We start from the raw sequence: 13,424 nt of genomic DNA on the forward strand, positions 1-13,424 counted from the left end.
CCACAAAATGTCCTTCCTAATCTTAGCAAAATGAAGAAATGGGTCAAAATGATTTGAAATATGCTTCTCTGTCTCTTCCTTCACCTCTTTTTGGTTTCATTTTCGTAAGAGTACCTGTCAGCATTTGCAGAAGAATTAAAGGCAGTGTCGTTCTGGAGGGAAATCACATGTTCCTTTAATTTTGTGATGGAAGGACTTATAAAGAGAAGTGGAGCTTGGTTAGAAAGGGGAGATGTGCACATAGGAAATGTAAGCAGGGCTGGTGAGAAAACTTGGTGGTGGCGTTTAATTAATTTTGAAACTGGGAAATAGTTCTACAGTTAATCTGTAAGTTTTTTTATGTTGAATGCTTGGAAAATTTCAACTTTTTTATTTTCAGACACTTTGTATGCAGTGATGACATAAATAAGAAAAATGGCCTTGAAAACATCAAAAATGTAATTTTCACCTTCTTATGCTTTAAAAACACCTGAATGCACTTTTCTCAAACTTTTAAGAAAAGAAACAAAACTCAGATTTTGGTAAAGATCAAGATGAATGGTGTTGACAAATTTCAGGAGGCTGGAGAGTCTGAAAATAGTCTTATGGATGACATCTGTATGTAACTTTTTAATGCTCTACCACAGATGCTCCCATAAGGGCAACAGAGAAATAGCTGGAAAAGGTAACAATGTTACTTATTTTATTAAATACGTAAGAATTGTTTGCATCCATTTCCTGGCAGTATTTCCTATTTTTAGGAGTGAGGTGAATGATGTTGTAGAGCTGGAGATACCAGTGGGCTGACTACAATTTTCAAAGCACCTTGAGATGTAAAAAAATGTTTCTGTAGGAGGGAAGGGGTACGGTTCTGATAAATCTCTCAGCAGGATGAAAAAGAAAAGGGAGGTCTAGACAGTCTTGTTTCATCTAATAGAATTTTCCCACAGAAGATGGGCAAACATCAGATAAGAACATTTATCAGACCTCACACATTTTACAGCCATATCCCTTTGGGAACATTGCGCAGCATAGACTTGCTAAGTCCTGAAAATGGAAGACAGAAAGCACTATAAAAAATATGGACTGGCGCCCTGAAAAACCAGTCTTTATTACTCACCCTAACATATACATTTGGCATTTTGGTGTACTTGTTAAATGATACATAAAACCGTATCACTAATGAAAATACAGCAGTAGTCCATGAGCTCTTGGCTCAAAAGAAAGCAAAAGTAAATTAAGCAAAATATCTACTTTAAAAAAAAAATGGTAGTAGTCCCATTGGACCCACTTTCCTATTCTGCTCTTGCCTGATTTTCATAACAGTGGGTGAATGCAGAGATGCTTTAGTAGTAAGTGCAGGTGATGCCAGGGCAGATTTTTGCCAATGAAATAAGAATTTAAGAAAAATGTTAAATTCATGTAATGTTATTTCAAAGGCTAATCCAATAATTCTTAAACATTTATGTAAATCTGCCATTTTCTCACTCTGGAAGACAGATAAAGAGAACCACGTGAGAAGATATAGCATGTTCTATTACTTGCCATTAAATTGATAAGAATTACAATGTCTGTGAATCCATCAATACCACTGAAGGACATGCAGTGGAATCAAATAGGTGGCAGAATAGCTATATGAATCACATAATATAACAAATCTTTTCACCAGATGGTGTTCAGATTTGCTGTTTATTTGTGGCTTATTTAATATTATCCTGCTTTTCCTCAATCCACAAAGGATTCAAAGCTTCTTACAAAGAACACCTTGGGCCTCAGGCAACCAGTTTTTAATGACGAAAGATGGACTCTGAAGTCCATGACATTTAGTAATTTGTCACTTTTCTTGTGCACAAAGTTGAATTCTGGCTCCGGGAAGCTGATGTTTGGGAGAAAATCATTTAGTTGTGGATGAAGTGAGCCAATACATAGCTGGTAGTCCCAATATGACTTGTTTGTTTCCTAATTTGAGTTTACATAGTAACTCTTTTAAAGAAACAAAACCATTTTTTAGTGGTGGGGGAGTTCTTTGTGAAAATAGCCGTGAAGTGAGAGATGAGTCCGGGGTAGAAGCTGGAAAAGGAGTTAACTTGCAGTCTGAGGATGTGCACAGGAAACGCTTGCCTCTAGATAGTAATACAGTTTCAGGAGAGATCTCCAAACCTGAGTGAACTATTTCCTGGATTCTTAAGTTTAGAGACTGTGAATCTGGGGGCTTGCCAAGTCCTCAAAAACATCAAGGGCCTACTAAAATATAATAGAAAATCTAGAATAAAAAAAGAGAAAAAGACAAGGAACATGTAGATTTGTTTAGAATGCGTATTTTAGGTGCAATTCTCCTATTACCAACTGATATGGTTTGCCTGTGTCCCCACCCAAATGTCAACTCGAATTGTATCTCCCAGAATTCCCATGTGTTAGGGGAGGGACTCAGCAGGAGGTAACTGAATCATGGGGGCCAGTCTTTCCCATGCTATTCTCGTGATAGTGAATAAGTCTCACAAGATCTGATGGGTTTATCAGGGGTTTCCACTTTTGCTTCTTCCTCATTTTCTCTTGCCACTGCCATGTAAGAAGTGCCGTTCGCCTCCCGCTATGATTCTGGGGCCTCCCAAGCCATGTGGAACTGTAAGTCCAATTAAACCTCTTTTTCTTCCCAGTCTCAGGTATGTCTTTATCAGCAGCGTGAAAACAGACTAACTAATACAGTAAATTGGTACCAGGAGAGTGGGGCATTGCTGAAAAGCTACCTGAAAATGTGGAAGCGACTTTGGAACTGGGCAACAAGCAGAGATTGGAACAGTTTGAAGGGCTCACAAGAAGACAGGAAAATGTGGGAATGTTTGGAACTTCCTAGAGACTTGTTGAATAGCTTTGCCCAAAGTGCTGATAGTGATATGGACAATAAAATCCAGGTTGAGGTGTTCTCAGATGGAGATGAGGACCTTGTTGGGAACTGGCACAAAGGTGACTTTTGTTATATTTTTAGCAAAGAGACTGGTGGCATTTTGCCACTGCCCTAGAGATTTGTGGAACTTTGAACTTGAGAGAGATGATTTAGAGTATCTTGCAGAAGAAATTTCTAAGCAGCAAAGCATTCAAGAGGTGACTTGGGTACTGTTAAAGGCATTCAGTTTTTGTTTTTGTTTTTGTTTTTTGAGACGGAGTCTTGCTCTGTCACCCAGGCTGGAGTGCAGTGGCAGGATCTCGGCTCACTGCAAGCTCCGCCTCCCGGGTTCACGCCATTCTCCTGCCTCAGCCTGGGACTACAGGTGCCCGTCACCATGCCTGGCTAATTTTTTTATTTTTAGTAGAGACGGGGTTTCACCATGTTAGCCACGATGGTCTCGATCTCCTGACCTCATGACCCGCCCGCCTTGGCCTCCCAAAGTGCTGGGATTACAGGCGTGAGCCACTGCGCCCGGCAGGCATTAAGTTTTATAAGGGAAGCAGAGCATAAAAGTTTGGAAGATTTGCAGCCTGACTATGTGATAGAAAAGAAAAAAATCTCATTTTCTGAGGAGAAATTCAAGCCAGCTGCAGAAATTTGCATAAGTAGCAAGGAGCCTAATGTTAATCCCCAAGACCATGGGGGAAATGTCTCCAGACCATGTCAGAGACCTTCACGGCAGCCCCTCCCATCACAGGCCTGGAGATCCAGGAGAAAAAGTGGTTTTGTGGGCCAGGCCCAGGGTCCCCATGCTGTGTGCAGCCTACGGACTTGGTGCCCTGTGTCCCAGCAGCTCCAGCTGTGGCTGCAAGGAACCAACGTACAGCTTGGGCTGTGGCTTTGGCGAGTGGAAAACCCAAGCCTTGGCAGCTTCCAAGTGGTGTTGAATCTGTGGGTGCACGGAAGTCAAGAATTGAGGTTTGCCAACCTCCACCTAGATTTCAGAAGATGTATGAAAACACCTGGATGCCCAGGCAGAAGTTTGCTGCAGGGGAATGGCTCTCGTGAAGAACCTCTGGTAGGGCCATGGGGAAGGGAAATGTGGGGTTGGAGCCCCCACACAGAGTCCCAACTGGGACACTGCCTAGTGGAGCTGTGAGAAGAGGGTCACCATCCCCCAGGCCCCAGAATGGTAGATCTACTGACAGCTTTCACTATGTGTCTGGAAAAGCCACAGACACTCAACACCAGCCCATGAAAGCAGCTGGGAGGGAGGCTGTACCCAGCAAAGCCACAGGGGCGGAGCTGCCTAAGACCGTAGGAACCAACCTCTTACATCAGTATGACCTGGATGTGAGACCTGGAGTCAAAGGAGATCGCTTTGGAGCTTTAAAATGTGACTGCCCCACAGGATTTCGGACTTCCATGGGCCCTGTAACCCCTTTATTTTGGCCAATTTCTCCCATTTGGAATGGCTGTATTTACCCAATACCTGTACCCCCATTGTATCTAGGAAGTAACTAGCTTGCTTTTAATTTTACAGGCTCATACACAGAAGGGACTTGCCTTGTCTCAGATTAGACTTTGGACTGTGAATTTTTGGGTTAATGCTGAAATGAGCTAAGACTTTGGGGGACTGTTGGGAAGGCATGATTGGTTTTGAAATGTGTAGATATGAGATTTGGAGGGGCCAGGGGCAGTATGATATGGTTTGGCTGTGTCCCCACCCAATGTCAACTCAAATTGTAGCTCCTAGAATTTCCATGTGTTGTGAGAAGGACCCAGGGGAGATAATTGAATCATGGGGGCCGGTCTTTCCTGTGCTATTCTCATGATAGTGAATAAGTCTTATGAGATCTGATAGGTTTTTCAGGAGTTTCCGCTTTTGCCTCTTCCTCATTTTCTCTTGCCACCACCATGTAAGAAGTGTCTTTCGCCTACCACCATGATTCTGAGGCCTCCCCAGCCATGTGGAACTGTAAGTCCAACTAAACATTTTTCTTCCCAGTCTTGGGTATGTCTTTATCAGCAGCATGAAAATGGACTAATACACCAACCTTGGGAAACTTCATTGCCTGACCATTTCCCTAGTTTCTTCAATTGGAAACGAGGGGAAGCTGCTCATCCCCACCAATTGTTGTGCCCCAAAGAAGGGCAGCGTGGTCCTCCTGCTAATTTAGTTGGTAAACTTGGGCCCAATCAAGTAAAAAAAAGAAGAAAAAAAAATCCCTATGGCTATTCTTAAAGAAGACCCCTCAAGAAATAAAAGAACATGGTTCTGGGTCCTTTCCCACTCCCAAAGGAGAGCAGCTCCATTTTTATGATTTATATAAAATGATGTTCTGAAGACTGGGGGTTAGGGGAGAGAATGAGGAAGTGGAATGTTTCTTTGATGAAGGAACACTCACCACCCACTAGGGGCTTCCCTGTGTTACATTCAGACTATTGTCAGTTCCTGGGCTTTCAGGGACTAAGCTGGTACAGTAGTGAGCTCCCCTTGCCAGCTACAGCACTGGACCAGTCCAACAAAATATATTTTGAGGCTGAAGATCAAACAACTTAGTGAATAATGGAAGCTCCTGTAGGCTCCTGTACCCTGTGGGAACCTAGAAGAGTATGGTAGGACAGCAACATAAGAGCCATTTTCTGGCTTCAAATGGGAGCTCTAGGGCTCTGATTGGAGATGCCAGACTTTATCACCCGTAAGAAAGTCATTCTCGCCGGGTGCGGCAGCTCATGCCTGTAATCCCAGCACTTTGGGAGGCAGAGGCGAGTGGATCACCTGGGGTCGGGAGCTCGAGACCAGCCTGACCGACATGGAGAAACCCCGTCTCTACTAAAAAATACAAAATTAGCTGGGTGTGGTGGCACATGCCTGTAATCCCAGCTACTCGGGGGCTGAGGTAAGAGAATCGCTTGCACCTGGCGGGGCGGAGGTTGCAGTGAGCCAAGAGCACGCCATTGCACTCCAGCCTGGGCAACAAGAGCAAAACCCCATCTCAAAAAAACAAAACAAAACAAAAGAACAAACAAAAAAACCAGGAAAGTCATTCTCTGACCCACCCCCAGCCCACCTTGGGAAGGATACTATTTAATAGTGACTTAAATTCCTCTTAGGGTAGGGAAGGTCCATCTTGTCTTGGCTTATTCAGGGCAGTGGAAGCTTTACCCACTTCCTACTCTTCTTCATGTTATTGAAGCCCAGTTAAAATGAACCAACTTAGAATATAAAATTATTTTAATATTTCTTCATCTGACTTCTAATCCCATTGTTCTTTTTGCTGTATCTGAAGATAGTCCCAACTTCTCAAATATGTTATTAATTTCTGGGCTGTAAAATGAATATGGAAGAGGGACTCAAATTTTGTAAATGCTGTGGGGTTACAAATCACCAATTGTCCTCTGCCTCTGTGTTGCCTCAGCCTACCGCAAGACCTCCCTACACACACACACACACAGACACACACATCCCTGAAGTCACTCTAAATATCAGTAATTATGAAGTTGGCCAGGCACAGTGGCTCACGCCTGTAATCCCAGCACTTTGGGAGACTGAGGCAGGTGGATGGCTTGAGGTCAAGAGATCGAGACCATCCTGGCCAACATGGTGAAAACCCATCTCTACTAAAAACGCAAAAATTAGCTGGGCGTTGTGGGGCGTGCCTGTAGTCCCACCTACTCAGGAGGCTGAGACAGGAGAATCACTTGAACCCAGGAGGCACCGGTTGCAGTGAGCCGAGATCCTGCCACTGCACTCCAGCCTGGCAGTAGAGCAAGACTCCGTCTCCAAAAAAACAAAAAAAGTAATTGTGAAGTCTTTGGCAACTTCCTGAGGCCTTCCAACTCTCTCCCAGCCTTTCAGAACAGGTCTTCCTATTTTCTTCCATCCCTCTTCTGCCGTTCTGTCATATTTCTAGAGTGGGGCTGGCAATAAAACTATCAGAGAAGAGAGAAACCATATGTTCTGAGGTAAAATTTAACAGAATAAAGAAATTTCCAGCCCTTGAAAATGCCCAGAAGCTTCCAAGCAGACCCTCCTTAAAAGTTTCCATCTACTGTCTTTTATTAAACCCTGGTATTCCTCAAATGTGAAATTCCTTTCTGAATTGTTAAAATATTTTTATAAATAAAAAAACTCAATTAATTTTGAGTAGCTCAAAAGTATCTTTTCTACAATTTCTAAAGTAAAGATGCTACATTTTAGGTTATAAGTTTTTGCCACCAGGTGTGACTCTAACTATTCTTCATATCTTTTGTTCGCTCAAACGTGTCCCAAATTTGAAAAAAATTGACTTTTGGACAATTTCTAATAAGCATTTGGGTGGTCCTGAGCAGGAGGAACTTCTAGTTTGTGAAGTAGCTAAGGAAAACATCTTAGGCAATTTTTAGTTCCAAGAACTTAGCCTGACCAAGTAACCTGACTTGCAGCTTAGGCGTTTAATTAGGAGCAATTTGGACACCAGAGTTCCGATTCTGCTCTTGGTGCCATCTTTTTCTTTGGGGAAGTGTTCTGCTTACAGCCTATATTTTGTGAACATCGTTTCCTGTATATCTTTGTGTCTAATACGGCACTTCAAACATAGTAGGCATTTGGAAATTGCTCCCTGAACTGAATTAAATGCAAGGTTAATTCATGGTTGTACATGATCAGAGTTGGAGTAAAAAATGAAATAAAATGAAAAGCACTATCAATTAATCAGGTTAAGTCATGTCAAGCGATCATTAAGTTTTCGATGATCTTGCAGATCTTTGAGAGAATGCGGATCTCGGGCATTTTCAGTTGTGTGCACTGACACGTGAATGTGTGTGTGCCCTCACATAAGTTCTTACATAGCAGAAGGAAGGAAGTTGTGAAAGGGGAGAAAATAGAGCTATTGACTGCAGAGCCATAAAGCTGTTTTTAGAATGACTGCTTCTGTTGTATTGGGGAACGCTTCCTTTGAGAGGGGGTATATTATGCATCCTCTTTCCATTAAGTCTATTTTTGGAAGAAATTACAGAAGATAATATATTACCAGCTCCCAGGGATCTCTTATCAACATAGCCTCTGTTCTCATAACACACCTGCTTAGAGCAAAATAAATTATTCTGTCCTCAGGAATGCCAACCCCAGACAATCAAAATCTTCACTAAATCCCTGTATTTATTAGGGAAGCTCGGATTTTTGAAAAGTGTTAACTCCGCCCCTAAAAGCAGTAAGCGAGAGATAACAACAGTGGAGTCTTGTGGTTGAGCATTCAATCAGCTTCAACAGGGGCAAAGTCTAGGAATTGTTTTCAAAACAGTGTGGGGCTTCCTACTCAGGGGGAGGATTTATCTGCATTTGGCAATTACTCCAGTTACCTTGGAACAAGAAATTTACTTCTCAGTAGTTTTGCAAATTAAGTGTTTAACTTCGTCTCTATAGAATTAATGCCTCGGAGGTGGGGAGAGGGAGGCAGAGGAGAGGCTTTCAAGGCCAGTTCACAAGTTTGACACTTAAAGTGATAGTAGCAAGTTTTTCTCTAACTGCAAGAGTGTGAAGTTCTGTTTCCACCTAATTGCAGTTTGCATCCTGCAAGTGTATTGATTTAGACATTAAAACAACTTAAATGTTTAGCAGTAAAAAGTTGTTTAATCATTAAACCACTACCATTTTCTTTCGCCCTTTAAACCTGCTTTCAATCAGCAAATGCTGATTTGGATGCTGGTTTACAGTCTCATTAACCATGAAGATCACAAAGGAAAGGTTGTGGCAGCAGTGGGAAGCTCTGAAGCACCCTCATTGTCACAGGAAACATTCAGTGAGACATTCAGCTGTCTCACAACACACACAGCTCTGAGAGAGGTTTGGGTGACAGAAATGCAGCCTCCAGTTCCAGAAGCAGCACGCTGTTCATTCCAGGAAAGGAAAAAAAAAGTGCTTTTCTGCGTGACCATGTTGATCACTGTTACCATGCAGTAATCAGGGGTCTTTTTGCCACTTAAGTGTAATGGGAGGAGGGTATATCATTGGAGACTCCTAGGTGAATGGCGTGGATGTTACTCTTTTGCAAAGCAAGGAGGAGTTGCAGTGTTTCATGGCCTTCTTTCAACACACGGGAGTTTTATCACTCATTTTAAACGCACAACTTAACACCATTTTCAAACTGAGTTCCAGCCCTGGATTGTTTTTTTACAAAATGGCCCCTTTCCCCTCATAGTGGGATGGCCATGGGTGCCCATTAATTGCTACACTTATAGGAACTGAATTTATTCCCTTCATGGTAGAAAAACCAAGCCTATTTTCTGAAACTTAATCCTGTGAGCTACCATCCACGGCCATACCAGGCTCCAGGAAGGGATCACAACTTTCTGAAGAGATGAATTGCTGCTTTAACAAAGGCTACGTGTGCCTTTTGATTCCATATTCTGCCTCCACTAGATGTTTGGTTTTGCTGCCAAATATAAAAACCACACTGGAAAAGACAGTTCTTCACTTTTAAGTGGCTGTGTGATAGAAAATTGGTAATTAGTTCAGTTTTGAGGAAGACAGGGACAAACTCTTCTTTACGTTTTATAAAATCACAAATTATCACAGTGATCTCCATTTGAGATGGAGAAATGGAAACCTAGCAAGTTCCAGAGACTTGCCCAAGATCTTGTAGCTAATTATTAGAAGCAGGAAATGGGTTAGAAACCAGAACCCTGATTTACAGCTAATTGTATTTTCGGCTATCCAAATATCTTTACTGGATTAATACAAACTTCTCTTGTCCTCAGGTAATACAAATACCTGTCCTCATAGAAAATAAAGGCTTATTGGTCTGTCTCTTTCTCTCTGTCTCTCTCTCTCTTTGTATCTGTGTGTGTGTGTGTGTGTGTATATATATTTTTTATATATGTATGTATATATAAAATATGTATGTATATATGTATGTATATACATACATATTTCTGTCACCCAAAATATGTATGTGAGTATATATATATATATATGTATGTATGTATATATGTGTATATATTATATATTTTATAAAGATATATATTCAATCATACATTGCTTAACAATAGGGGTACATTCTGAGAAATGCATCTTTAGGCAATTTCATTGTTGTGTTAGCATCAAAGAGTGTATTTACACAAACCTAGATAGTACAGCCTACTGCACATCTAGGCTAAATGGTGCATCCCATTGCTCCTAAGCTACAAACCTGTACAGCATGTTACTGTACTGAAACTGTAGGCAATTGTAACACAATAGTAAGTATTTGTGTATCAAAACATATCTAAACATAGAAAAGGTACAGTAAAAATACAGCATAAAAGATTTTAAAATGGTACACCTGTATAGGGCACTTACCATGGATGGAAATTGCCAGACTGGAAGTTGTGGTTGCTCTGGGTGAGTCAGTGAGTGAGTGGTGAGTGAATGTGACAGCCTAGAACATTACTGTACACTATGCAGACTTTGTAAACACAGTACACTTGGGCTACACTAAATTTATAAAAAATATTTTTCTTTCTTCAATAATAAATTAACCTTAGCTTACTGTAACTTTTTTACTTTATAACCTTTAAATTTTTTTAACTTTTTTACTCTTTGTAATAAAACTTCACTTAAAACACAAACACATTATGTAGCTGTACAGAAATATTTTTCTTTATATCTTTATAAGCTTTTCTCTATTTTGAAAATTTTAATTTTTTTTAATTTTCAAACTTTTTGGCTAACAACTAAGACATAGCACACACATTTGCCTAGGCACACATAGGGTGTGGATGATCAAAATGTCAGTAGGCAATAGGAATTTTTCAACTCCATTATAATCTTCTGGGACCACCACCATATATGCAGTTCATTGTTGAGTGAAACGTCATTATGTGGTGCATGGCTGTATTTATATCCGTATAAAGATTACACATATATAAAGGATGCAAAGACAAAGAGTACATATATATTTATATATGTAGTGTACTGTATATATGCATGTATGTATGTATGTATGTATGTATCTTACTTTGGGATTTCCTTTTTTCTAACCTTCTTACCATTTTAAGAATTGGTCTATGCACAGCAAACTTTTAGAATCGCAATTAAAATATTCAGAGAAGTGGCCAAGTTTTTGTATAGGTGTTTGGATACTGTGCAGACAAGTTCTACATTTCTCTGTTCTCAAAACTCCTTCCTACATAAATACTGAGGACTGTTCTCTGGCCAAAGTTTGTCAAACCATTTCTCTGAGTAACAAGACTTCCTCATGTTTTCCATACTCTATAGTTCAGTGTTGCAGCCTTCCCATACTTGATTTTTAAAGCGGAGTTTTGTTTTGTTTGTTCTTAGTGCATTATGACTATAAAATGTAAAAACCTTTCCTCTTTGAAGATAAAAGGAAGTAATCCTAATTTTAAACACTTACTTGTTTTAAAAAATTGAAAAAAAAGTATCGACTTGATATGTCTAAAGAGACCTATGTATATATGTATTAGATATTTATATACATACATATGTATGTATATATGTAATATATATCATATATATATTTTAGAAATCTGCAAATTTAAAAAGGGAGTGTTTAGATTGCAGAAGACCTATCCCTAAACCCCGAATCCCAGAATTCTTAAGCTAGAAGGGCACTTGAGAGGTGATCTCATCTATAAAGAGATGTATATTTAAGGAGCTAATTTACACAGGTAGATGACAAAACCTTACACCAACTCTTCAAGCACAGGAAGCACCTTACACGAAACACTTTGGTGAATGCTCATTTCTACTCAATTTTAAACTAAATTCAACTGAAAATACCTCATTTTAAAGAGGATATTCAGTTGACTCACTGGGGAAAAACAATTGGATAAACTGGTTGTTTGCCCTTACCGAGATAAAATCACTGATAAGTTGAATGCATTTTTGTAATGTGTCAAGACAGATGGCTTTAATAGTCACACATATTAAGTATGGGATATGTGGCGAGGAATAGAGGTTTTTATATACAGAAGTAAGAACTGTAGAGGGGGGAAACCATGAAAGATAGAAAAAGATGAGAAGAAAGAGGACAGAGATGATACACTCAAGAAAAGCTGCCTATTTCAGAGTAGAATATATTGTAAGCCCCAGTATAGTTGAATGCTTACAAGAGGAGAAGCTTTTAGCAACTCCTTTGTTTCTTAATGTATATATTATATCTGAACAGAATGCTTCTTTCCTGTGAGCTAGACAGTAGGAAGTAATCTATCTTCAACCTTGTTTGGTGTGTAAATAAAACTTTAGAAAGGGTCTATTGAACTTTGGACAGGCAAGCTCCATGAGCTCTCCCTCACTCTTTGAGGCAGGTTAAAGGGTACGGCCATGACCACCACCTTAATCCTTCAGGGACTATTTACAAAAGATTGAAAAATGTGCCCAGGGCCCGTACCTGCCCCTCTGTGGAACTAGCCCAACTCAAGTGGGCTGGCAGGCAAGCCTGGCTTTCATGGGGACAGAAGAGAGAGTTTGCGGGGAGCTTGGCATTTTTCAACACATGCTTTTTGGCTTCTCCTACTGAATTTGTAATTTCCATGATATTTGGTGGGAAAATGGACACCGGCCTCTTTTGCTTTTTGTCTGCTGCTTTGCAGCTATTGGGATTCTGCGCCTTGGGATAATGAAGCAGGCTGTCATTTCCTCCCCCTAAATAATGCATTACAAAGTGGAAATGCAAATTTCCTGTGCAAGCTCTAAGTAGCAGGTGGTATTTCCTTAATATATTGTTTTTGACCTTTGGGGAAATTGGTATTACGAGCTGACTTTGGAAAATTAAAATAGCATCAAGGTCCTACATTTTAAATAAAACAATCGATATCTTAATTTTTAAAATCAGACTAGATTACGATACCAGGAAAAGACATACATATTTTGCTTTTATGTGTTAAAGTTTTGTAATTCAGGGAGGACAAGAAAAGGGATATGGTGCAGCTGAACTTTCTAATTCACTAAGACAGGAAAAAAGGAAGGAAAAAATGTATATTTTTAAGTTTCAATTTAAACCTTTGCTGTTAACTAAATGCTTTGATATGATCAGTCATACAAAGAGTTAAATTAAGCATGGAGCTGTTCAGATGGCAAATCTGCGTTGAGCTGAAGGTAAAAGACATCTGTATTTTTCATTCATTTGCTCAGCAGCACTAAATTTCAAGCTTGTTTTTTGTTCAGCATCAAAGAAAAGGTTGTTTTATGGTTATTGGATTTTTTTTAACCCACATATTTCATGAAAGGGACTCAAGTCACTGGGTCTTTATATTCTTTTAAGTTATTTTTCTGCCCACAGCCATTCTGCAAGCCATCTTGTTGAAGAGGGAAAACATAATTTCATTCTTTTTCTCTTCCTTTGAAGAAAAAAATTTAAGAGATTTAAATACCATTCACATTTTGGAACTTCCTTCTTTACCCCCTCCCGAAACCATCATCTCACAACTATGTAAAGCAATCAAATGTTGAAAGACTTAAGAGATTTTCACACACATAAATATCCTTTATATACTTATAACTGCTCTACTTATCAAGGGCAACAAGAATGGAACCCAGGAGCTAAGTTTATAGATGTTTGTGTGTGTGTGTGTG

General features: G+C 39.9%; 1 protein-coding gene across 2 annotated transcripts in view, besides 3 other annotated features; it reads left to right on the plus strand.

The window, feature by feature from the left end:
- Positions 1–13,424, plus strand: part of HMGA2 (high mobility group AT-hook 2) — a 141,832-nt gene that overhangs the window by 93,684 nt on the left and 34,724 nt on the right. The window lies entirely within an intron of this gene.
- Positions 8,283–8,793: an enhancer, noted in NCBI's record as "NANOG-H3K27ac hESC enhancer chr12:66320206-66320716 (GRCh37/hg19 assembly coordinates)". NCBI's record gives its function as "activates a minimal SCP1, AML or CMV promoter by ChIP-STARR-seq in primed H9 embryonic stem cells {active_cell/tissue: H9 hESC(primed)}" and the evidence as "EXISTENCE:reporter gene assay evidence [ECO:0000049][PMID:30033119]".
- Positions 12,042–12,186: an enhancer, noted in NCBI's record as "145 bp enhancer 102 fragment used in the MPRA reporter construct; PK_construct_1741". NCBI's record gives its function as "activates an SV40 promoter by MPRA in HepG2 cells {active_cell/tissue: HepG2}" and the evidence as "EXISTENCE:reporter gene assay evidence [ECO:0000049][PMID:23512712]".
- Positions 12,107–12,120: a transcriptional cis regulatory region, noted in NCBI's record as "HNF4 motif; enhancer activity is reduced when this motif is scrambled". NCBI's record gives its function as "necessary for full MPRA enhancer 102 activity {active_cell/tissue: HepG2}" and the evidence as "EXISTENCE:site-directed mutagenesis evidence [ECO:0005528][PMID:23512712]".

The sequence above is a fragment of the Homo sapiens genome, chromosome 12 (assembly GCF_000001405.40).
Source record: "Homo sapiens chromosome 12, GRCh38.p14 Primary Assembly".
Taxonomy (NCBI): domain Eukaryota; kingdom Metazoa; phylum Chordata; class Mammalia; order Primates; family Hominidae; genus Homo; species Homo sapiens.